The sequence below is a fragment of the Homo sapiens genome, chromosome 1 (assembly GCF_000001405.40).
Source record: "Homo sapiens chromosome 1, GRCh38.p14 Primary Assembly".
Taxonomy (NCBI): domain Eukaryota; kingdom Metazoa; phylum Chordata; class Mammalia; order Primates; family Hominidae; genus Homo; species Homo sapiens.
In genome coordinates, this window is record NC_000001.11 from 7,291,658 (window position 1) to 7,317,223 (window position 25,566).

The 25,566-nt window shown below is 42.6% G+C and overlaps 1 protein-coding gene across 25 annotated transcripts in view, besides 1 other annotated feature; it reads left to right on the forward strand.

Annotated features, from left to right (window-relative positions):
- CAMTA1 (calmodulin binding transcription activator 1) overlaps positions 1–25,566 on the forward strand; it is a 984,253-nt gene that overhangs the window by 506,204 nt on the left and 452,483 nt on the right. The window lies entirely within an intron of this gene.
- Positions 2,518–3,035: an enhancer, noted in NCBI's record as "H3K4me1 hESC enhancer chr1:7354235-7354752 (GRCh37/hg19 assembly coordinates)". NCBI's record gives its function as "activates a minimal SCP1, AML or CMV promoter by ChIP-STARR-seq in primed H9 embryonic stem cells {active_cell/tissue: H9 hESC(primed)}" and the evidence as "EXISTENCE:reporter gene assay evidence [ECO:0000049][PMID:30033119]".

Below are 25,566 nucleotides of genomic sequence, written 5' to 3' on the forward strand. Positions count from 1 at the left end.
GCCTTCACATTTCTTTTACTGGCAGAACTGGAAGGGCAGAGAGCCTAGCCCAGGAGTGGGTGGCCAGTGAGAACTGGGCAGCCAGCCTGGCTCCACTCCATTGGCGGCATTGCCCTTGGACAGTTTTGGTTGTCACCCACATTTGGCTTCTTAGCTGAAACTCTAGAGGTACATTCCTCCTTCCAACAACTGTCTGGAAACAGGAAGTGGTGCAGGGAAGAAAACCAGATGCCAGCTTCCCCCGCTGTTTTGACTGGGCTCTGTAAATGGAAACAGCTGAGAATACTATCCAAGGGTGCGTGTGCCCATCTTAAAGCTGGTGTGTGCATTGCAGGGAGGATGCTGGGTGCAAACATACTCTGACGTTTATATTGAATATTTTAGTTTGCAGAAATTCGCAATTAAATCTACTTTCCACCTACACTTTGAAAAATCCATTTATAGAAACCAAATCAAATTGGAGATCTAAGGACTGGTGGCCAGAAATGAAATATTTTTAAAATAAAATATATGGAGATTGAATTGCTGAAGCGCTGGCTTGTTCTGCGGCTTCCTGGGATGTGAGCTAGAGGGAAGGCTTATTGGACAGAGCCTTCTCTGGGGATCAATTATGAACTACTCTTACGTCCTGGCAGTTTCAAAAGGGAAAAAAAAAGTTCTTTGAAAGAACTTATTTAGCAGGCAGAGCCAATATTCTGTGTTTTCTTGAAGCCACCTTGTATTTCAGCTTCGGTGAATATGTGTGTCTCCTGTGGATCTTTATGGGAATTGCTTGAACACTCCGGAGAGGCTGGATGTGGCATTAAAACCACCTAACCTTTGCTCCCCCAGCCTCGCCATTCATCCTGAAGACTTAATTATTTCTCGAAAGATGATCCATACGGGTACTGCCTTTTTCTTAGGAATGTGAGCCCAGATGCTGAATTCCCCACTCTCCGTACTCAGGAGAGAGAAGCTCAGACTCAGCTCTGGCTTAAATTTCTGAATTGATCCCTGATTGAATTCCTCCTTTGAAAATTATCAAGAGCTGCTTAGTTTTTTCCCAGTTCCTATGAGGGATGCCAAATCCTTGCATGCGTTTCTGCACTCCTCTGCACCCACGGACCACTCAGAGAAAATGCAACCATTTTGTTCAAGTGAGTTCTTATTGCCCTTCATGGGCTCAGTTCCCTTTGAGAAGACAACTGATCCCATGCCACGTGTTTCCTGCAGCCTCGCTTCCGCCTTTAGGAAGCAGGCAGAGGAATTCCTACAGAGCACTAGGCCACCCCAGCGCCACCTCCCATGTCACACCAGGCAGAGGTTGGGTGGGATCTCTGGGAAGGCATGTCCTCCCTGCCTCCTGGGAATCCTGGGGAAGAACCACCCTAGGAAGTGGCAAGCTCCGGCGGGGTGTCCTACTCCCTGCTGGGTCACTGGAGCTTCCAGAGCCCAGGCTTCGTTGCTTTTCTGCTGTATTCCTGCCCCCTTTCTACTGCTTTCCAGTGGACAGGGACGGGGTGGGGCTGCCTTCCTGGGAAGGGATTGCGCTGCAGAAGCTGGGGCTGGTAAAGGCTGGGGAGCAAATGCAGACCTTGTCTGGGTGATGAGAGACCGCCACTCGTCTCCAGGAGCTCCCGCCAGAGGCCTGCTGTGACAAGGGATAACGTGCTGGCAGGCCACTTGTCCAAGAGAATCATTCCTTCCTGCACCTGGACACTGTTTCAGGGCTGGCATTTCTCTGGCACTCGGTGTGAGCAAAGCCCATTTGGTCGTTTGTCAGTGAAGACAGAAGAGTCACAATGAGCCGATTTATAGAGTACATGGGGTGTTGTGGGGCAGAGGCCCGGATGGCTCCATGATCCATGTGCATGTGTTCCCGGTTTTGTTTGTCATTTGCTTTCTTGCCATCCACTGGGAAATGTATTTATCACTACAGTTTGTATAATTTGGTGGTCTGTTTTCATCTTTTACAAGCAAAATGCTTGGTATTTCAATAAGATTGAAGGGGGGTGGAAATAGATTGCATCCCACTTAGGACTCTCAGTGGGGGAGTCTAAACATGAATTATCCCAGCTTAATGCTTCAAGTTATTGGGGTTCCCCTGGGGAGCATCTTCTTGGTTCTTGTAATGTTGCTGCCTCCCGATGGCTGCCCAGGGTTTCCAGCTCTCCCGTGCCCCTCGCTTTTCTCTGAAAACTCGGCATGCCCCGGGGGGCCTCTTTGGAGCCTGTTGGAGGAGATTTTGTAGTAATGAGCATTTGGCTTTTGTAATCCTTTTTCTGCTTCGTGCTAGCAGCCTCGCACTTCCCACCTGTTAAAGCTTGCAAAGATATCATCGGCAGGCATTTTCCCAGGGGAAGCACAGTTGTGTCCAAAGCCCAGAATAATCCAGGCTTTCCTCATTTCTATGCAGAGGGCGTTAGTTGATCCTGGTGCCCTCAAGAGAAGGTCCCTCCAGAACAAGCTCACCCTCCATCACAAGCACTGATGATGGGGGTGCTCAAGCTGGGGCAGGGAGAGGCTGAGAGGGGATAACCCAAGGTGGCAGGAGGCTCCCTCGGTGGTTTGTGGTGGGGCTGTTCTGTTCAGCCAGGATGTGGCCCTTTCAGGGGTTTACGCTGTTTAACACTGGCTGAGTGTCAGGACTGGGGGGCTATGGATGGTGAGCTTCTCCCTGGAGCTGGCTGGTAGGGAAGTTCAGCAGCTCTCTGGATGTTATGAAACCACGGAGAGGCACAGTCACCTTAAAAGGACAGCAGCTCTCACTGGCTGCTAGACTGCCTCTGATGGAAGGTGTCTGCAAGACAAAGGAGAGGCTGCGGGCAGCAGTGTGCGGGGGACAGGTGATCTTGGCCAGCATCCTGCTTGCTCATATTCCTCGGTGAGACCAGCTCTGCAGAGAAAGGGCTGCTTCAGCCCTATTCACCCAAAACCTCAATGTAGAAACCACCCACTTTGCTCTCGTTCAGCTTCCAGAGGGAATGCTGTCAGTGACACAGCATTCTGGTCCCTGGAGTAGTGGGTTCTTGACATTAACGAATGGGCATTGTGATTTTATCCTTGTGCCTTATGAACTTGGTTAAAGATTTGACAGTCACTGTCAGAGGCTGCAAGTCATGCAGGGGCTTCTGAGCCTGCAGGTGAGGACCAGCCCAGACCAGGGTGAAGTCTCAGAGAGACTCTCCGTGGACCCTTCACCAAATGGCCTCCAAGGCAAGGCCCTTGATCACAAGTGTGTCCCTGGTTCTCCCTGGTCCTCTCGCATCTGCCCCGTGACTCCCGACTCCCCTCTGCACTTGGTCTGGTCTCCAAGATCGTTCTGATGTGGACTTTCCTCCTTGTCTATGCTGGCAGACCTCAGGAGGAATCCACCACCTCCGCTTTGCTGCCAGGCCAATCACTGATAGCATCAAGCACACTGGCTTGAAGTCAGACTTCAGGTGTTCAAATACTGACTCCACCTTCACTTACATCTGACTCGGGCAGTTATGTAACCTTCTGGCTTTGGGGTTTTTTTTGTTGTAAACAGGGACCCTAATGGCATCTGCCTCCCTGGAGTTGGAAGCTGGAACGGGGCAACACATGGACAATGCTGGGAACAGTGCCTCACACATGCCCGTACTCAATGCTGTCATGGGACCCATTCCGGCCCTGTCTCCTACATTGCATCTCCATCTGTGATCTTTCACTCAGTGCCCCGGGGTTGAGAACTAAACCCCTCTACTCATTCTCACAAGCAGGCCTTTTCCTCTTCAACCAGATTGTAACTCCCTGAGGGGAGGGCTTGTTGTGTGTTTCCTTTGGATCTGCACAGTGGTACTTAGCAGCGTTCTAGGCACCTGGTAAGGGTTTGAGTAAAACAGACTGATTGGATAGTTAGTGATGCTGGGAATCTGGAGTGTGAATTAAGCAGTATATTCCAAATTACTTCCAGGCGTTCATCATTTCAGTATCACACGGCCACATGGGAAAATGCCCACTGTGTGAAATTTATTCATCAGTTCAACAAATATTTATCGAGTACTTTCCATGGCATGGTTTTGGTTCCTGAAGATTCAAAAATGAACAGACAGAAAATATCCACGCCCTTGTCACTTACCTGCAGCAGACTGACAGTGGTCAGATACAATCTCAAGAGGTGATCAGTGCCACAGAGAAAATAGAGCAGGGTGTATTGGTTATCTATCTCTGTGTAACAAATTATCCCCAAACATAGCAGTTTAAAACAATGCATATTTATTATCTGACCATTTCTGTGGGCTGGGGCCAGGCATAGCTCTGCTGATCCTCCCACTCAGGGCTCCTTACAAGGCTACCGAAAAGGTGCTGGCCAGGGCCGTGGTCATTGCAAGGTTCAACTGAGTCAAAATCCACTTCTAAACTCGATCATGGGGTTGTTGGGAGGATACAGTTTCTCATGAGCTGTTGAACTAAGAGCTCAGGTTCCAGCTGTTTGGTGAATGCCATGTGGGCCTCTCCATGGAACACAACAGGAAAGCTTGCTTCATCAGAGTGAGCAAGTGAGAAGAGCCAGAGAGAGTGAACACGCCAGGGACCTTGAGTCACCATCTTCCCAGTAAAGTAAGTGCCATTAGGAACCCCACTTTACAGACGAAAATGGAGGCCCAGAGAGTTAAGTATTTTGGCCAAGGTTACATAACTATGTAACTAGTGAGTGGCAGGGCCGAGGTTTGATCCCAACCTGTTTGGCTCCAGTACTTGTGCTCCTAACTACCACAGTGGACCATTGCTCTGCCTTTTAGTTGCACACACTGTCTGCTGCAGTCTTCTTGACAAGAGAAGATGATGACTCAGGAACTTCAGCAGTAGTGGGGATGGGAAGAAGTGGGTTGACTGGGAATACATTTTGAAGAGATTGTTGCTAGAACTTCTTGATAATTTGGGTGTGGGAATAAGGTGAAAGAAAGATGTTAACAATGATCCCAAAGTTGGGTGCCTAAGAAACTGAGTGAATGACGGTGCTATTCCTCAAGATAGAAGATGATGGTAGTGGAGCAGGTCTAGGGGGAGAATAAAGAGTTCTGTTTTGGCCACGTCAAGGGTGATGTTCAGATGTAGATGTCAAGTGGCCCATTGAATACATATGTCTGGAGCTCAGGGGAGCAGTCAGACCAGAGATACAGACTTTTGTAGTCATTAATCACGGATGACCACCGAGAGAAAGAGTATAAAGGAGAGAAAATGACTAAAGACTTAGACCCCTGACACCTAAAACATTTAGCTGCCTGGACAAAAAGGGAGAGCCAGCAAAGGAAATGGAGACACAGGGGGCAAGAAAACCAGGAAAGCATGGTGACCTGGAAGCCAGGTGAAGAGGGGCTTCCAAGAAGGAGGAAATGGTTAGCTGTGCCAAATGCTTGGTGAGAGGGGATGGAGGACCAAATGGAAAAAGAAAGCTACAAAACTGTATTTTCAGAAATGTCCTAATTTTGCAAAAATAATTTCTCCCTGCCCAAAAAGAGTAAAAAGCTCTTTGAGTTTGTTAAATCTGTAGTCCAATTTTAATCCATGAACATGGTATATCTCTATTCTAGATATTTTAGAAGATATGTGGTAGGGGAGTGTGGGTTATGTTGTTTTCTATAAAAGGTGTTGAATTTTGTTCTGGCAGGTCAGTTAATTACTGGCAGATCCTCTTGGTCTGGTCAGGCTTGGTTTGAATCTTTATTAGAGTTGGTCCATTTTTATTTTGCCCTTATTCCTAGGCTTTGGCCTTTCCTGTAGGGTATAGTCCTTGTTCCTAAGGCCTGGCCTTTTGGGGAACAAATGCCCAAGGTACTCAGCAAGGGTTCTCTCGTCTGGCTTGGCCAGAATTCAAAGCTCTGCCAGCTCTGCATGACTTCTAGTATCTCTGCTTAGCTTTCAGTCTTATAACAGCTATGGAGTTTTGCCCTGCATGTGGGCAGTTCTGCCCTCAACCAAGTACTCACAGGGTACCTCCAGGCAGACTTCTAGGGCCTACTTTCTGCACAAGATTCTTCTCTCCAGAGCCCAGACCTGTAAGTTCTAGCTGCTTTAGCAGCCCCAAACTCTTGATTTTTGCCTTCTCCTATAATCTAGGCTGCTGTGCCCCATCGTCCTGCATAATGGGCCAAAAGGCTGGGCAAACATGGGGCTTATCTTGTGTGTTTTTTTTCTGGCAGAACCACAGTCCTGAACTGCCTGTTGTACAATCCCTACAAAGAGTAGCCTCAGATATTTTTGTCTAGTTTCATGATTGTTTACAGCAGGAGGGCAAATCCAATCCTAGTCACTTCATTGTGGCAGGAATCAATATCTATTTGGTTTAATGTTTACCATTCCTTCCCATTCCCTATACCAGCTCATCACCCTTGTCAGCGGCAGTTCTATATATGTTTGTAGTCCTTTCAGTTGAAATAAAATTGAGTCAAACAATTTATAATCTGAAATGAACAAAGACCATGTAAATTCTTTTCAGTTGCCTTTTTAGGCTGGTATCTGTCTGTAGAGGACTCCCAGGGAAGGATTCTCAAGGAAGACTCAATGGGAAGCCTTTGGATGGCAAGCTACAGGGCTGAGTACGAGGGTGGCCTTCCTGTGCGGGGTGTAGGATTAGCATCAGAGAAACAAATCAGGAATCCCTGGGTATAACAGTAGGGGCTGCATTGTCATTTTAGCCTTCTCCAGAGATGCATGATCCACCCCCCACCCCGCAGGTCTTTTCCTCTCTATGAAAGTCACTGACAAGTTCCTGTGGATCCCCTGGGGTCCCCAGGAATGTATTTCTACTCTGAGGGCCAGTGAGTATCTTTTTCTTGGCCATGAGCCATGAATAGAAACGGGACCCTTAATACTGCCTGACCTGCCACATGCAGCCCTCTCTTCTGGGACTGTCTACACAAGTACATTTCCACCATCTACAGGGGCGGAATTCCGGTCATTTGCTACAGGGGAAATTCTAGATTTTTGTTTCTAAAGGGCCCCAGGTTACCAAGGTCTCTTGTATATTAGAATTTTACCACTTCTCTCTGGGGGAATTAGGTATTTATCAATACATTTTGTAATATATATTTACCAAATTGTTTATCCAGCAAACTTTTATTAAGCAAATGCCAGGCATTGTGTTAGGTTCTGAAGCTCTCCCAGTTCCTTATCCAGGGCCCCAGGAACGCACTCAGGGACCATTTCAGACACGTGGGTGAGTCAGTCCCTAATGGGCTCAGAAGAGAATCACCAAAATGTTTAAGACAGAACAGTCCCGAGCAGCCAACATTTCACCCTTCCTTCCTCTCTCTTCCCTTGCCGACCAGACCCAAGGGTTTTGGACTCAACTGTTTCCTTTTGTAGCAATGAGCTAAGGAGGCTATTTGCTTTGACTAAGGGGCCAAGATGATGAAGTCAGATGTCCTGAGTTTGCATCTTGCCTCTCCACTGACTTGCTGTGTGACCTTAAGCAAGTACCTTCCCCTCTCTAGGTCTGCTTCCTGAAAATTCAAAGTCTCTGAAAATTCTGTTTTAAAATATGTGCTGGAGGTGGGGAGACCTGATTCCCTGCCTAGTGCTTCCTTCGTTTTCATGGATTCTTTATTAAGCAGATATTACTTCTTCATAATAAAATCGTATATGAAACAATGACTTGATTTCTTTATATGAAACATACTTTGTACATCTAAAAATGTTGTTGAAATCATCTGAGCCTCTGAGCAAGAGCTTCGCCTTTGACTCTGAAGCCAGTGCTGTCAGCAGTTTCTCCCCCTTAATGTAATGCTGTATGTGACTCAATATGAACTAAGCAGGGGGTGGGAGGTACAGACCACCCCAGTAATCCAGGCTTTCTCTGGAATTCTCCCACTTGTTTATAGTCTGGGCAATTTGCCTCCTGCTGCTGCATGACTCAGACTCGGAGAGCTTCCAACCTCGCAATGAGCCAGCGGCTCCCCGGAGTCAGACGCTGGCCCTTGTGTCTCAGGCTCCTGGAACCTTCCGATTAAGCCTCCACTTCCATCTCCTCCCTGGCCACATTCAGGCAGCAATGCCCCAACCCCACACAGAGACACACGCCCAATCAGTGCCCTGTACAAGCAGGGACTGTGGGTGAGAGGGTACAAGGAGGTGTTCCAACCCCTCACTGAGACAGGATTTCTAGCCCCTCTCTTTGGTTTGTGTCATTTTGCTTTGAAATGTAAGTTGACTTCTGATCAGGGCAGATCTCAGTTTTATAGGACCTTGTGTAAGAATAAGCAATACAAAATAAGGAACACAAAATGAGACCTAGAGTCTTAGAAGGGGCCCGTGCAACCAGAGGTGCCCCGAAAGCTTAAGTGTCATTGACTTCCTAGCAACCCTGACTGTGGTCTGATTCCTTTAAGATCCAGAACAACTGCTCCCTGTACCTTAAGTAATTATCATTTAGAATAAAGTCAGAAAATTGCTTGCTGTCTGTTTATTTTAGAATCAAGCAGCTTCTGTATAATTTGAATTTGAGATAGCATTCTTAAAAAAAAATTCCCTTCGCAATAAAGCACCAGATTGAATGTCCGATGAGTCACAAATGCCCTTCTGAAAACAGCTGCATTAGAGGGACTCACTCAGAAAACATGATTTTCCTTCCTCCAAGGGTCTCCCCTAGACCCTGGCACAGAATCACCCTGGTCCCCACTCTGGTCCTCCCTTCCAGGCTCATTCCTGGTGCAGCAGATCACTTCCACATTTACTGCATCACATCCAGCATCAATGTTTTTAACTCCATGAATTGTTTAGAAAATTGTATAGAGGCCAGGCGCAGTGGCTCACGCCTGTAATCCCCATACTTTGGGAGGCCAAGGCAGGCGGATCACCTGAGGTCAGGAGTTCGAGACCAGCCTGGCCAACATGGTGAAACCCCGTCTCTACTAAAAATACAAAAATTAGTCAGGCCTGGTGGTAGGCATCTGTAACCCCAGCTATTCGGGAGGCTGAGGTAGGAGAATCACTTGAACCCGGGAGGCAGAGGTTGCAGTGAGCCAAGATGGTGCCACTGCACTCCAGCCTGGACAACAAAGAGCAAAACTCTGTCTCAAAAAAAAAAAAATTGTATAGATATTGATTAAAGCAGAACCCTGAAAGATGGTGAATGATTGGCAGGCAATGAGAGGAAGTGTCGTGTTGTCCGTTGGTGACATTTGCAAACTCTCCTGGTTTAAAGTGATTCCAGAGCAACTTTATTTCCATAGTCTGTGTTGCACTCAAAGTAAATATTAATTCCATTATGCCATAAACTTTTATTTATCATGACAGCAAGTCATAAAGTTCTCTTACTAGAATATAGCTTCTAAATTGCATATCATAGATGAGATACAACACACACATTGGATTCTAGCAGCAATTACCCACCATCCTTTATGCAAGTCGGTATTAAATGCACTTTCTAAATATGAGTCACAGTCTGAGCTTATGCAGAAAATCTTCCATGGCTATTACCCAGGAGCCCAGAAATATGACGTGAGGGTGACAGAGGAGCCACAGCCAGCAGGGGCCAGACACAAGGATCAAAGTGCACCTAGTCACCCGGCAGTAATTCATCTGAAGCATTCTTTGCATATTATGGGTCTGACTTTTTAAATTACGTAAATTGCTCATTAGAAGTGCCTTGTAATTGCCTTCACCTGCGGTATTGCGAGAGGTGTAGATTTTAATTATTCTTTTTTGATTTGTAATGTGGTTTGACTTTTTCAGGGTGATAGTTTGGAAAAATACAGATCTGCTCTAATTGTTGTACCAAGTGAAAATAGATGGCTCTGTTGATCAACTTCCTTGACTTTGTGGTGGAGCGTACAAAGGAGTCTTATAGTTTCCCAGCCCTTGTTGATGACTGAGGGGCTTTGCCCGTGGGGCCCGGGGAGGATCCCTGTGAGCCTGTAGTGCTGGTGCCTTGGGCTCAGCCAGCCCCTCAGATGACTTGTGTGGAGCCAGGCAGTGTGTTCATGTTGGATGTAACCAGATCTCGGGGGAGTCTGCTCACCTCTTCCCCACAGCATGGATAGGACAGAAAAAGCCAAGGCCCATTCATCATCTTTGAAGACTGGGACAGACATGATGAGTGCTGGGGGCGCCCAGGTCCGGGGTGCTCCTGGGATGCCTGCTGCAGAGATGCTTTTCTCTCTAGCCCACTTCTCGAGGGCAGCCTGGCCTCCTGCTACCCAGCAAGTGCTCTCACTTCCTGCAGCACAGAGGCCTCCACCTGTCCAGCCCACCCTGAGCCAAGCTGCTCTGGGCTCTGGAACGGGCTGCAGGCTTTCTCGGGCCCCTGGGCCTGGCCCCCTGTCATCCAGCACACGGAATTGATGAGTTGTGAGACCAGAGCTGTGGCTTCGGGGGTAAACTTCCAGGACTCGTTCTGGCTCATCTGCAGCCATGGATGAATAAAAACTCGATCAGGACGCTGGTCTTTGAAAGGCAGCTATTTTAGGACTCACTTTTGGAAAGGCAGGGGGATTGTTTTTCCAAGACAAAATTATGCATTTGTCAATACAGCAAAAGCATCGACTGCTTTCTCTTTGGTGGGGGTGGGGGGTCTCTTGCCTTAATCATTCTCCATCAGAAAGCTTTGCTCTTTGAAGCCTGGCTGGCATTGGGCTTCTGTGCATCTGCCCACAGAGAGATGCTCCTCAATCCCCTCCCGCACCTGGCCCCACTCTCCCTTTTTGGAGCAGCTCACCTCTCACCGACAATAACAGGGAGAACCTTTGTGAGTCTAGGAACGGTTTTGTCATAAAGCCCCCAGCCCATTTCCTGTCTTTTCATCCCCTGTTTTATGCATGTGGCATTCTGTTCCAGGCCAGATTGCTGTGACATGAGAAATACCCGAAATATGGGCTGCCACGGTGGCTGTCATTAACCAACCACTAGTTGTGCCTTTATAAATTTTTACACACCGCTAAATTATAAATATGCAATGCTGCGAGTAATGAAATATGCACCTCTAATAACTGCAGTTAGAAGATTTGTAATTCTGCCTGCATGTGCCATAAACTGGGAGGAGTTGGGGGGCTTCATCTGTTTCCCATTTGGAGCCCCTATTGTGCTTCTCCCCATCCCAGAGTCCCTCATGAGGGTCTTGCGTCTCAAGGGGACCCTTTGGGGGAGCCTCTCTCAGGTATTGGGCTTCCCCGCTTGATGCCTTTTCTTTTGTTGGTCACATGGATTCAATAAACGTGGTTCACTAGCACCCACCATGTTTCAGACCTGTGCGAGGCTGGCAATCTGCAGCAGAATTAATCTTCCAAATCGTCATTTTGGGGAGATGAACAAATTACCAGGCAATGACAGTGCAGTGTGATGAGGGCCCAAGGGGAAGGGTACCCAGGTGCTGTGGGAGGCTAGGGTGACCCTGAACAAATTCTGTAATCTCTCTGTGTCTGTGTCCTCATTCATGACTGAGGACAGTACCACCGCCTTCCTCTTGGTGCTGCTGGGAGCATTATATGAGTTACGACATGTAAAGCATTTATTTAGAGTGGTGCCTGGCATACATTAAGCACTCACTAAACATTAACTAGTATAAGCACCGTTATTATTACTTGACTTCTTCCTGTCTTCTGCCTCGTAGTTGAGATGGTGCCTAGAGCACTCTCTTCCTTCTTAAAGAGCATGGCTTCAGCACCACAAGCTTTGAATTAAAGAAACATTGAATTTTTGTCCAATACAGAAATATCTTGTCTTTATATTGATATCAAAAACAATCTGTTATAAAAATGCAAACAGTATAAAACTGTATAAAAAGTCCCCCCTAAATCCAATGTATACATACACACATGCACAAATATGTTTATGAAGCTGAGCTATACTCTATGTCTCGTTTTTAGCCACAACTATATAGTGGACATAATTTATGTCATACAAATTAGTACATTTTACCAGCGTAGGTGTTATTTTCTTACCCTTTTGTTGGATGATTACATCGTTTCCATTGTTTCATTGATCCCACAAGTATTACTGAGCAGCTGCTAGAACCCAGTGTTCTAGGTGCTGGAGCTGTCCTAGCCCTTGTTGACACAGTCTAGAGACAAGGGATGAGCAGACAATAAGAACTAGAATATGTAGCATGCCAGATGGTCATGAGAGACACAGGGAAAAACAAAGCAGAGAAAAGGCATGGGACGTGGCTGCAACTTTAAATCCAGTGGTCAGGGCAGGCCTTACTGAGGTGACTGGAGAGGAAAGAGCTGAAGGGGTCAGGAGCCCTATTGAAATCTGGGGAGAGGCTTTCCAATTACAACAGCAAGCGAAAGCCTTTGAGATCACAGAACAACCTGGACAAGTCCTAAAAGCTTTGTACTAAGGCAAAGAGGCCAGACACAAAAGGACACACACTGCATTCTGTGGTTCTGCTTCTCTGAGATCTCAGAATAGGTAAATTCAGAGAGACAGGGATTAGAGTAGAAGTTCTCAAGGGCTGGGGGAGGGGAGGGAGATGAAGAGTTATTGCTTAAAGGAGGCAGAGTTTCTGTTTGGGATGATGAAAAGTTTAGGAAAAGGAGAGTGGCAATGATTGCACAACAATGCGAACGTCCTCAATGCCATTGAATGGTGCACTTGAAAACGGTCAAAATGGGAAATTTCATGTTATGTACTTTCTACCACTATTTTTTAAAAAGACCTCGAGATGGGAGTTGGTATTGGATAGAACGAATGCACAATGTTTAAATTAATGAACATTCTGTTAATGAATAGTTGTTTCTAGTCTTTTGTTGTTACAAGCAATATTTTAATAATATCTGACAATTATTTTATACACATATGTCATTTTACACTTATGTGACTATGTAAAATAAATTATAGAAGAGGACAGTTTAGACGATGGACTGTGTGACTTTTTATTTTCACAGATATTGACAAATTGTCCTCCATAGATGGTAAATTAAATTACATTCCAGCTAACAGTATGTGAAATCATTTGTTTCCTCAAGCCCTTATCAAAACATTGTGTTATCAAAGCTTTTTTTTTTTTTTAGGTCTGACATATAAAATGGCTCTTACAGTTTTACTTTAAATTTATCTTATTAATGAAGTTGAACATACTTCTTTTCTATTCAGAAATTTGCAAATCTTTGTATTAGATTGTTGGTTTTTTTTCTTATCGGTTAGAAGATGCTCTTTATATATTACAGAAATTAACTTTTCTATGATATATAGTAAATAATTTCTCAGCTCATAACTTGATTTTGCTTTTTAATATTTTTTCTAGACATTTAAAAAAGTGTAAGTAGCCAAATTTATCTCTTTTCTTTCATGATCTCTAAAATGTATGACATAGAGAGGCCATTTCTTGTTCCAAAATTACAAAAAAATGTTTTTGGTATTTTAATATTTTTATTTTTTTCTTAATTTAAATCTCTGAATGATTTAGAATGTATTATGGTAGAAGGGACAGTGTCAATATATTATACAACTTTATTTTTCTTCTCCAGATAGCTGCTCAAGTGTTGCCAAACTATTTATTGAATCATCTACCTTTTTTTCTTGCTGGTAGGCATGTGCCTTCTCTGTTATATACTAAATTCTGAATTGTATTTGGATCTATTTTTGGACTATCTATTCTGTTTCAATGAATTGTCTGTTTATCCACATTTGATTGCCACACTCTTAATTATTGTAGTTTTCTAATACATTTTCATATTCATGAAGGAAGTCCACCTTTATTCCTCTTTTTCAGAATGTTCTTGGCTACTTCTGCTTGTATTTCTCTAATACTCTTTGGAATTAGACTGATCTAAAACAAAACAAAGCAAAAAACCCCCCACTAAACCCCAGCTGGTATTTTTACTGGAGTCACGCCCTTACCTTACCCTGAAACCTATTACCACTGATCTGTTCACCAACACCATAGGTTTTGTCTTTTTGAAAATGTCTTATAAATGGAATTATACTATATGGAAACTTTTGAGACCAGTACTTTCATTCTGCTCAACGTTGCCATTCATTACTTTTTCATTGCCGAGTAATACTCCATTGTATTCATGTACCAATTTGTTTATCTGCTTCCTGGATATATAAGTTTGGGATGATCATGAATAGATGTTCTACAAATATTTATATATAGGTTTTCATGTAAACAGTTTTCATTTCTCCAAGGGAAACACTCAGATGTGGAATGGTTGCGTTAGATAGTAAGTGTATGTTTAACATTGTAAGAAATTGTCAACACATTTTTATTATTTTGATTTTGTGTGTATTTTGTTTTTTGGCTATTTTAATAGGCGTGTACTGGTATCTCATTGTGGTTTTAATGGTTTGCATTTCTCTAATGGTTAACGATGTTGAACAACTTTGCATGGGCTTATTTTCCATTTCTGTATCCTCTTAAGTGAAGTATCTGTCCAAATTTTTGTCCATTATTTATTGGGTTGTTTGTTTGCTTGCTGTTGAGTCAGATATGTGATTTGCCAATATTTTTAACTAGTCTGTAACTTGTCTGTTCATTATCTGAAAAGTGTCTCCTAGAAGAAAAGTTTTACAATTTCGTTGAAGTCCTATTTAGCGATTGTTTCTTTTATGGATTCTGTTTTTGGTTTTATGTCTAGCAAATATTTGCTTAACTCCAGGTCACAGATATTTTCTCCTATGTTCGCTTTTAAAAAGTGTATGATTTTACATATTGCACTTAGAGCTAGGATCCATTCTGAGCTAACTTTTGTCTAATGTGTGAGGCTTAGGTTGAGGGTTCTCTGTTTTTTTGTTTTTGTTTGCATTTAGATGTCTTATTGTTCTAATACCACTTATTGAAAAAAAAATCTTCTCCATTGAATTTGCCTTTGCACCTTTGTCAAAAATCAATTGTCTGTATTTGTGGAGTTTATTTCTATTATGTCTCTTGTGTTCTATTCATTTTTGTGCCTATCACATCACCAATACCACATTGTTTTCATTACTGTAGGTCTATATAGGTCTTCAAATTGGTTAGTCAAATTTCCCAAAATTTAGTTTTCTTTTAAGAAATTGTTTTGGCTATACTAATTACTTTGCCTTTCAGTATACATTTTTGAATCAGTATGTCTATAGTTACAAAAAGAATCCTGCTGAAATTTTTATTGATATAGTGTTACATCTATAGATCACTTTGGGGGAAACTGGAAACCTTTCCTATGCTGAGTTTTCCAATATGTGACCGCAGTACAATCAGCTCTCCATATCTCAGATTCTACGTTGGTGGATTGAACCAACAGTGGATCAAAAATATTCAGAAAAAATAACAACAATAACAATAATACAAGTAAAAAATACAGTATAACAATTATTTATATAGCATCTACATTAGGTATTAGGTATTATAAGCAATCTAGAGATGATTTAAAGTATATGGGAGGGTAAGCATAGGTTATATGCAAATACTATACCATTTTATATAAGGAGCTTGAGGATCTGTGGATTTTTATATCCACAGGGGTTCCTGGAACTAATCCTCTGCAGATGCCAAGGGACAACCATATATCTCTCCATTTATTTAAGTCTTTAAAAAAATTCTTGTTAGTATTTTGTAATTTTCAGCATATAGATGCTCTATATATTTTTTATTAGGTTTTTACCTAAGTATTTCCATTTTTGAGCTATTTTAAATGGCATTTTTTAAGAACTGGTTTTCACTAATTCATTGCTAGTATATAAAAATACAACTGAGTTTTGTGTGTTCATCTTGTATCTTGTGACCTTGCTAAACTCACTTGAGTTCTAGGATTTTTTTTTTTCTGTAAATTTCTTAGAATTTTTTGTGTGGGCAATCATGCTATCTGAAAATAGGGGCAGCTTTTCTTCTTGCTTTCCAATTTACAGGCTTTTATTTCTTTTTCTTGCCTTATTGCACTGGCTAGGGTTTCCCTACAAAGCTTATGTGAGAATGGACAGTTTTGCCATGTTCCTGATATTAGAGGGAAAACATTCAAGTCTTTCACCATTAAGTATAAAGTTAGTTGTAGGGTTTTTTTGGTAGATGCCCTTCATCTGGTTGAGAATATAATAATGTTTTTTCTTCTTTAGATTCTTAACATGGTAAATTACAGTGATTGATTTCTGGATATTGAAGCATCTTTGCATTCTCAGGATAAATTCCATTTGGCCATAGTATATTCTTCTTTTATATGTTGCTCAATTTTATTTTCTAATATTCTGTTGGTGATTTTTGCATTTCTGTTTCTGAGGGATATTGGTTTATAGTTTTCTTTTGTGGTACTGTCTTTGGTTTTGGTATCAAGATGTTACTGATCTCATAAAATGAGTTGGGAAATATTCCTGACTCTTCTGTTTTCTGGAAGAGTTTGTGTAAAATTGATACTATTTCTTCTTTAAACATTTAGTAAAATTTGTCAGGGAAACCATCTAGGCCTAGAGAATTTTTTTTTTCAGAAAGTTTTAAACTACTAATTCAATTTATTTAATAGTTACAGGACTATTCCAGGGTTGTTGTTGTTTTTTTTTAAATCTGGGTGCATTTTGGTAGTTTGTGGTTTTCAAAGATTGGTTTATTTCATCTAAGTTGTAGAATTTATCTATGTGAAGTTGTTCACTGTTTTCCCTTATCTTTTTTATGTCTGTGGAGTCTAATATCTAGTCTCTCATTTCTGATATTGGTAGGTTTTGTCTTCTTTCTTTTTCCTTTGTTAGTCTTGTGGAGAAGTTTATTAATCTTATTTATCTTTTCAGCAAACTAGCTTTTGCTTTCATTGATTTTCTCTATTTTTTTCATTTTCAATTCCATTTGTAATTCATTCTTATTTTACTATCTCCTTTTGGCCTGCTTTGAGCTTAATTTGCTGTTATTTTTCTAGTTTCTTAAGAAGGATGCTATATTATTGATTGAAACCTTTCTTCTTTTCTAATGTGAACATTTAATAAGATGAATTTTCCTCTAAACACTGCTTTGGCTGTATCCCACAGATTTTGATACATTATATTTTTATTGTTTGATCAGTTAAAAATATTTTCTAATTTTTTTGACCTATGGGCTATTTAGAGAGTTTTCAATTTTCAAATATTTGGAGATTTTCCTGTTATCTTTCTGTTATTGATTTCTAAATTAATTTAATCATCAGGGAACATATTTTGTAGATTTCAATTCTTTTAGTTATTTTAAGGTTTGTTTTATGACTCAAGACATGATCATGGTGAATATTCCATGTATAATTAAAAAGAATGTGTATTCTGCTGATGTTGGGTAGCGTACTCTCAACTATCAGTTGGAGTTGGTTGATGGTGCTATTGAGTTGTTCTATGACTGATTTCTGTCTACTCATTCTATTACTGACTGAGAGAGAAGTACTGAAGCTTCCAGCTATAGTTGTGGGTTCGTTTAGTTTTCCCTTCAGTTCTTTCAGTTTTTGCTTCATATATTTGAAAGTTGTTATTATGTATGTACATGTTTAGGATCATTATGTCTCTTTTATTATTAAGCAGTGTCTCTTTTTATCATGGTAATTTTCTTTGCTCTGTAGTCTACCTTGTCTGATATTAATATAGCCACTCAAACTTTATTTTCCACAGCATTTGCATGGCATATCTTTTTCCATCCTTTTACTTTTAGCCTACTCATATCATTATATCTGAAATGCATTTTTTGGGAACAACACATCGTTGGGTCATGGTTCTTTGCTATTCATTCTGACAATCTCTGTCTTTTCATTATTGCAGTTAGAAAATTTTTTTTTTTTTTTTTTTTTTTTTTTTTTGAGACGGAGTCTCGCTCTGTCGCCCAGGCTGGAGTGCAGTGACACGATCTCAGCTCACTGCAACTTCCGCCTCCTGGGTTCAAGCAATTCTCGTGCCTCAGCCTCCCAAGTAGCTGGGACTACAGGCGCCCGCCACTACGCCCGGCTAATTTTTTGTATTTTTAGTAGAGACGGGGTTTCACCGTTTTAGCCGGGATGGTCTCGATCTCCTGACCTCGTGATCCGCCCGCCTCGGCCTCCCAAAGTGCTGGGATTACAGGCGTGAGCCGCCGCGCCCGGCCTGAAAACTTTTATTCCTTTGTTTTTGTTCCTTTGTTTCCTCTTTCCTGCCGCCTTTTATGTTATTTGAACAATTTTTAGTATTGTATTTTACATATTGTGTTTTTTTACTATATCTCTTTGTATAGTTTTTTAATGGTTGCTCTATGGGTTACAATACATTCTTTTTGCAATCTACTTAGAATCAACATTTACCACTTCAAGTGGAACATAGCAAGCTTAACATCATACAGATTCCTTTACTCCCTCACCCCTTATATTTTAGTTGTTTTATATATCATATATATATATATAAAACCCCAGTAAGGAATGTTATAATTTTTGCTTTCAACCATCAAAAATATTTTAAACTACTTGAGAATAATTGTCTATTATATTTACCCAGATCTTTATTAGTTCTGTTGTTCTTCCTTCTTTCTTGATGTTCCAAACTTACTTCTGGTATCTAATTTTCCTTCCATCTGAAGAACTTCTTTTAGAAATTTCTTAGAGCAATTCTAGAGAATTACTTGTCTGCTGGCAACTAATTCTCTTAGTTTTCCTTCACATGATATTGTCCTAATTTTACTTTCATTCCTGAAGGATATTTTTGCCGAATCTAGAATCCTGAGTTGACTGACAGTTCTTTCTTTCATCACTTAAAAAATGTTTCACTTCTTTCTGGCCCCTGTAATTTCAGAGGAGAAATCTTCAGCCATTCAAATCATTGTTCCCCTATGGGGTCAATAACTTTTTTCTGTAAAGGGCCAAATGGCAAGTATTTTTGTCTTTGCAAGCCATACAGTCTATATCACAACTACCTAACTGTGCCATTGTCTCACTAACACAGTCATAGATACTGCATAACAGAATAGTTATGGTTATGTTCCAATAAAACTTTATTTACAAAACAGGCAGTGAGCCAAATTTGGCCCAAGGACCATAGTTTGCTGACCTCTGCCTGGAAAGTAATGTGTCGTTTTTCTCTGGCTGCTTTCAAGATTTTTCTTTTTCTTTTCTTTTCTTTTCTTTCTTTCTTTCTTTCTTTCTTTCTTTCTTTCTTTCTTTCTTTTTTCTTTCTTTCTTTCTTTCTTTCCTTTCTTTCTCTCTCTCTCTCTCTCTCTCTCTTTCTTTCTTTCTTTCTTTCTTTCTTTCTTTCTTTCTTTCTTTTTTTTAAGACAGTCTTGCTCTGTTGCCCAGGCTGGAGTGCAGTGACACGATCTCAGCTCACTGCAACTTCCGCCTCCTGGGTTCAAGCAATTCTCGTGCCTCAGCTTCCCAAGTAGCTGGGACTACAGGTGCATGCTACCATGCCCGACTAATTTTTGTATTTTTAGTAGAGATGGGGTTTTGCCATGTTGGCCAGGCTGATCTCAAACTCCTGGGCTCAAGTGATCCACGGGCCTAAGCCTCCCAAACTGCTGGGATTACAGGCATGAGCCATTGTGCCCAGCCAACAAGATTGTTTTTCTTTGTCTTTAGTTTTCAGTTTGATTCTGATGTATCTGATTATGGATTGCTTAGATTTATCTTGTTTGGAGTTCACTGAGCATTCAGATCTGTAGGTTTACGTCTTGTGCCAAATTTTTGAAGTTTTTGATGATTATTTACTCAAATATTTTATCTGTATCACAATCCTTTTCATCTTCTTCTAATATTCCAATAACACAGATATTAGGCCTTTTGGTATCATCTCATAGTTCCCTAGGCTCTGCTCATTTTTTAAAATCTTTTTTATTCTCTCTTATTCAGATTGGATAATTTTTATTCAAGCTCACTTTTTCCTGTAATCACCATTTGGCTCTGTAGCCCACTCAGTGAGTTTTCTGTTTGGGTTATGGTAATTTTCAGTTCTAAAATTTCCATTTGGTTCTTTATATTCTCTACTTATTTTCTGAAACATTTCATTTTTCCATTTGTTTTTAGAGTGTTTACCCTTACTTCTTGGAACATTTCTATAATAGCTGCTTTTAAGTCTTTGCCAGATAATTCTACCATCTATGTATCTATTTCTATGAAAGTTGAGTTTTTTTTTTCTAGTTGTTATTATGCCAGCCAATTTTGGATTTTATTCTGTGCATTTTGAATATTATGTGATGAGACTCTAGGTCATGTTGAGATCTAAAGGAGAATGTTGACATTTTTGTTCTCATAGGTAATCCAGCCAGGTGGGTTCAGGCTGCAGGTTTCAGCCTGAACTTTTGTGGACTGTGCTTTCAAGGTTAGTTCTGTTTTCAAAGCCTTTGTTGTCCTGTGTGTGGGACCTAGGGGCTGTCCTGTGTGTGCACCATACAGTGGCCAGTCTGGGGTGTGGGTGTAGGTTATCCCGTAGTTCAGTTCTCAAAGTCTTTGGCATGCTGTTAGCATCAGATCCATGCATATGCTGCTTGAGGTTGAGCCCAGGAGTTTATAAACAATTTTGTGAGATTTTCCCTCTCCACCATCTCCTTGGGCCTCTCTTTTTCAGTCATCTGGCCATAAAGCTGGGATTTTAGTTACCTTGGTCAGTTGTACAGATGCCATGACTGCACCCACATCTGGGACCACAGCAGTAGGTTAGAGAGAGGAAAGAAAGCAACATGAGTTCTCCTTACCTCCTTGGGATCAAAGGTCTAACTATTGTGAGAGAGTTTCCCTTCTTTCATGGTTTTAGGCACCTGTGGGCCTCACTGTTGCTGCCATCACCACCCAGGATTGCCTGGGGGCTGCAGTGCAAGTGAATGGATAAAAGAAAAAAAAAACAAAAAACGGGATTTCTTCTGCTCTCTTTGAGTGTCCAGAGCCTGTTTTCTTGCTCCTTGAGCTGCAACCAGAGCTTACCGTGGCTCTCTTTCTACAGTCCAATTCCCAGTTTCAGGCTGCCTGGAGTCCAGACTCAGGGATGAAGGAGGAATAGGAAGCTCGTGGCTCTTTCAGGGGTGTTTCTAATTCTGGTCTTCCTCCTTAATTTGCCTGCTCCTATGTACCTTTCAATGTCCTCAGATTTGCTGCTTCAACATCAGTCCAGGTTTTATAGCTGCATTCAGGATGCTCACTCCATCTTGCCTGGAACCAGAACTGCTTCCATATACTTTTGCTCACTTTCCAGGTGCTGTCCTCTCTGTCCCTAACTGACTTTCAGCAGGGTTTGTTCTCCTTTGGGCTGCTTCCAAAAGGGCCTTCTTTTCTTTGATGGCTTTATTTATTTATTTTTTCCACTTCCTTCCTGAGCTCTGCCAATTCATGTTTTATTCCCCTTTGATGTGATTTTGTGCCTTTCCTGAGCTTTTGTGTCTCTGCTTTGAGTTTTTGTTTTAAAGAAGCACTTGTTCATTATTGTTTGAAGTTGTGGTAGTGTTTGGTCAACTATTTTTAATGGCTCCATGACATTTTCTTGGTGAGTATCCTACATTTATTTATTTCTATCTCGTTACTCCTTTTTTTCTGTGTGTTTATACTAATTGGATTATGGTTCCTTTCTTGTGATTCCTGTCTTTCGATAAAGTGGATCCCACTCTCCCACCCCCCAGAACTACTATGAAGGAATTTCTTACGGGTTGTGATCTAGGGTAGGGCCTCTGGCTAACATGAATTTCCTCTGAATCATAAAGGTCCTTAGACACAGAGCTGTGTCTGTATTTGTGAACCTTTCCCTATCTCCAGCCAACAGAAATCAGCAGCTGCAGAGACAATACTACCAATTCAATTTCTCTTCTCTACCATCTCCTCTTTCCCTCTCCCATATCCAGTTCCCTGGACCAGCCTATGAGTCCTGGCGGTACTCTGCTGCCAGTCTATGAATCCTGTTTTCATTTTTCTGAACAGAAGCTTGTTGGTTTTGTGCCTCGGGGCATGTGCTCACTGTTTTGATGAACTGCACTCCACGGCTTTGCCTGAGAGCTGCAGCGGTAGACGTCCTCGTTAGGGATCTTCCTGTAACCCTGTTAGACCTTTATTGCATTGGTCGGCCCTTCTCCAGACACTGTTAAAAGAGATTAGAGATAATTTCTGGACATCAAACCTAGAATTGGTATTTTTCTTTTTCTCCTTAGCATTGGGGCAGGGGTAATTTCCTGGAGGAAAAAGGAGTAACATCATATTTACTCCACTATATGAAAGTCAGAGTTTGGGTATATTTATTTTTAAAATATGATACATATTATCAAATTGCCCTCAATAATCTTAGATGTCCTTATAATTTTCTTTATAAATTTAACCTGATTTACTAGGAAAGAAGTACGTAGGGAGACAGACAGTGCCTGTGAAAAGGCTGGAAGGCAGGTTTGGAAGGTGGGCTACTTAGCTGCAGCCATCGGTCATCCTTGGAAGGCAGCGAGAAAGCAGTGCGGAGAGGGCACATCAGAGCTCTCAGAGGCACAGAAGGGCCACTGAATCCAGGGATTACATGTTTTGAAGACAGTTTTGCATCAGGAATCTAGATTCCCACCCACAGCAGGCCAGGCAACCAACCCTAAAATTCTTAAGAGACGATTATTTGCAAAGGCAGAAAGTTCATCCCCCGGGAGGGATCCATTCCTAGGCTGAACAACTCAGTTACCAGCAAGTTCTCACACAAATGTGAAGTCTATATACCAGTTATTTTGGTCACTTGGTGCTGTTCTTCCATCCAGAGCACCCCTGGAATCTGTTCCTCTCTACACATAGGGCAACCGTTTGAGTACTGAAGCAGGGTCCTCCAGCAGATGACCTTCCCCAAAGCCAGCTCTGCAGAGGACAGCAGTTCTGGGTGAGCACACCCTGTATTATCTGGGTCAAAGGCCACAGCTCCCAGTGTGGGACATGGAAGGGGTCCAGGGAGGGCCTTGCAATGGGAGCCCCAGGGTTTGGGATTTTGGATGCTCTCAAATGTATCCTTGTGGGTGGAGACAGTCCATTTGCATTCCATGTAGATTCATGCCCTGTGTATCATGGTGCTGTTTGTGGTTCCCAACTGCCATCTCCAGTCCAGGCATTATTAACTCTTTTTTATCATGGAACCTGAGTGTCTTAAATGATGGTTCCCAATAATTCTAAACCAAGTGAGCAAATAGGCTGTGATGGAAGAGACAGAGGGAGCTGTGAAAAAGAACAAGAGCAGAGCTTTTAAATCACCATGTGACAAATGGAATCGTGACTTAGGTTTCACAATTGAGGTGGCTGATTTCATGTGCTATTGACAAATCTTTCACATTTCTGACAGTTACAGAGTTCCCCCTCTGGAACATAAAGTCTACATTCATGGAGGTCAGCTTCAGGTACACCACCCCTAAGGCCTGACAGTACTTTGCTGTGCATCTGAGATCTGGCAGAAACAGCCTCTGACCACCAGAAAACCTAACTTTTCTTCCAAGTCCCAAAGAGATTACAAAAGTTTTAATCATCCTGGGACTGTCTCTGGCTGAAGGATAGATATGACCTTGAGACATTGACAAGAAGAATGATTAGATTCAGTGAAAAAGAGAGCAGGGATGAGGATGTTGAAGGGGTTTTGACTCAAGGGTCAGTGAAGGGTGCAGAGAAGACAAAGAGTGAATGAGAACATGTCTGGAGGCTCAATTTCATTGCCCCTTCTCCTGGAAAGCAATTGGCAGCTGCTGACTTGCAGAGCATCACTTGGACCAGGGTTCATGTTGAATCTACCCACGCACCTTAGGACTTTGTGCAGCTGGAGAGAGGGTTGTTCGGGGCTTGGAGCTGCAGAAACATTATTCCTGTTGTCAGCTGAAGAAAATTGTCTGGATATAAAGGATAGGCCTTGGCCTGACTCTATTTGTCGGGGAGGCAGAACTTCACTTGGCATTTTCTTTTCTATGCAAAGGATTTGAGACCTAAGAGAGGGAAGAGATGAGGGAAGACCTTTTCGCCTTCTCCATTTCTTTCCCTGAATGTAGACTGGTTCAGCAGCTCAGGGTGAAGCCTGGGAAACAGGCCTGGCTTTTACCGTGGTGAATCACTTATTGGCTGGGTCAACATGGACAACTCTTTAAACTTTCCTGAGCCTCAAATGCCAGATGTGGGGATTCTGTTCTGTAGGACCTTGTTTTTGTGTCCTGAGGCTGCCTTAACAAAGGATTGCAAACTGGGTAGCCAGAAACAACAGAAATTATTGTCTTATAGTTCTGGAGTCCAAAAATACAAAATCAAAGCGTGGGCAGGGCAGGCTCCCTCGTAGCCTTTAGGGGTGGATCTTTCCTGGCCTCTCCCAGCTTCCAGTGGCTGCAGTGATCCTTAGTGTTCTTGGCTTATAGATGCGTCACTGCACTCTGGTGTTCTCCCTGTGCATTTCTGCCTTCATGCCATCTCCTCCTCTGTCTTCATCCATTCTCATGCTGCTGTAAAGACACTACCTGAGACTGGGTAATTTATAGAGGAAAGAGGTTTAATTGACTCACGGTTCCATATGGCTGGGGAGGCCTCAGGAAACTTAACAATCATGGCGGAAGGCTAAGGAGAAGCAAGCTTGGACCTTCTCACATGGTGGCAGGAGAGAGAAGTGTGGAGCAATGGGAGAAGAGCCCCTTATAAAACCGTCAAATCTCATGAGAACTCACTCACTATCCTGAGAACAGCACGGGGGAAACAACCTGCGGTGATCCAATTACCTCCCACTGCGTTCCTCCCATGACACACAGGGATTATGGGGATTAACAATCCAAGATGAGATTTGGGAGGGGACACAGCCAAACCATGTCATCCTCCCTGGGTCTTCACATGGCCTCTTCTATTGACACCAGGCATTGGATTTAATGCTTACCCTAATCTGATATGACCTCTTCTTAACTAATTACATCTTCAGGGCCTCTATTTCCAAATAAGGTCTCTTTTGAGGTTCTGGGTGAACATAGATTTTGGAAGGACTCTATTCACTTGGTATGGATCCTTTAAAGATTAAAAGAGATAACACAAGTGAAGTAGTCAGCAGAATGCTTGACGCACGGTAAGTACTCAATAAGTGGTATTTATTGCTGTTGCTGATGTTATTGTTGCTTGTACCATTCATAGAATCCTTTCCAGGTGGCTGTACTATTAACATCTAGTGTTCGTAACAATTCTGTTCGTTCATTTAGTCGCAGATGTTTATATGCCCAGCAATCTGCTAGACTGGGGGATGCAGAAATGAAAGGCCTGGCCTTTTGTTTTCAGGGAGTTCACAATCTGGGGAGGAGGCAGACACACACGAACAGCCTGTGCTGAGATCCTCAGGAGGGGAGGGTGGCCGTGCCCAGATAGGATGGGAGGAAGATGCTCTGGGGGAGGCCTCCTGGACAGATCAGGAGGATTCTCAGAGGCTTTTGAGCTGAAACTTGAGGGTGAGTTAGGATTCCCCCCATACAAATGGGGTACAGCAGTGTATGGGAGAGCGGCAGAGAGTAAGAGAGCACCTATTTGTTCACTCAGTGGCCATGTGGGGCCTCAACTTCGAAGCAAATTCCGTCCTGTCTGCCAGGGGTGAGGAGGTGGTGCAGAAACAAACTATCAAGATGTGGACCCTGTTCTTGGAACTGGATGGACAGGAACCTGCTGTAGGGAGCACAGCCCCTCTGGAGACCAACACTGTGAAGGGAAGTTGCTCCCTTGCCGGGGGTACAGGGAAGGAAGGCCTAGGATGGGGAAGGGACCACAGCAGGCCTGCGGGAGTAGGAAGGAGGCCAGGGCGAATCCCCAGGAG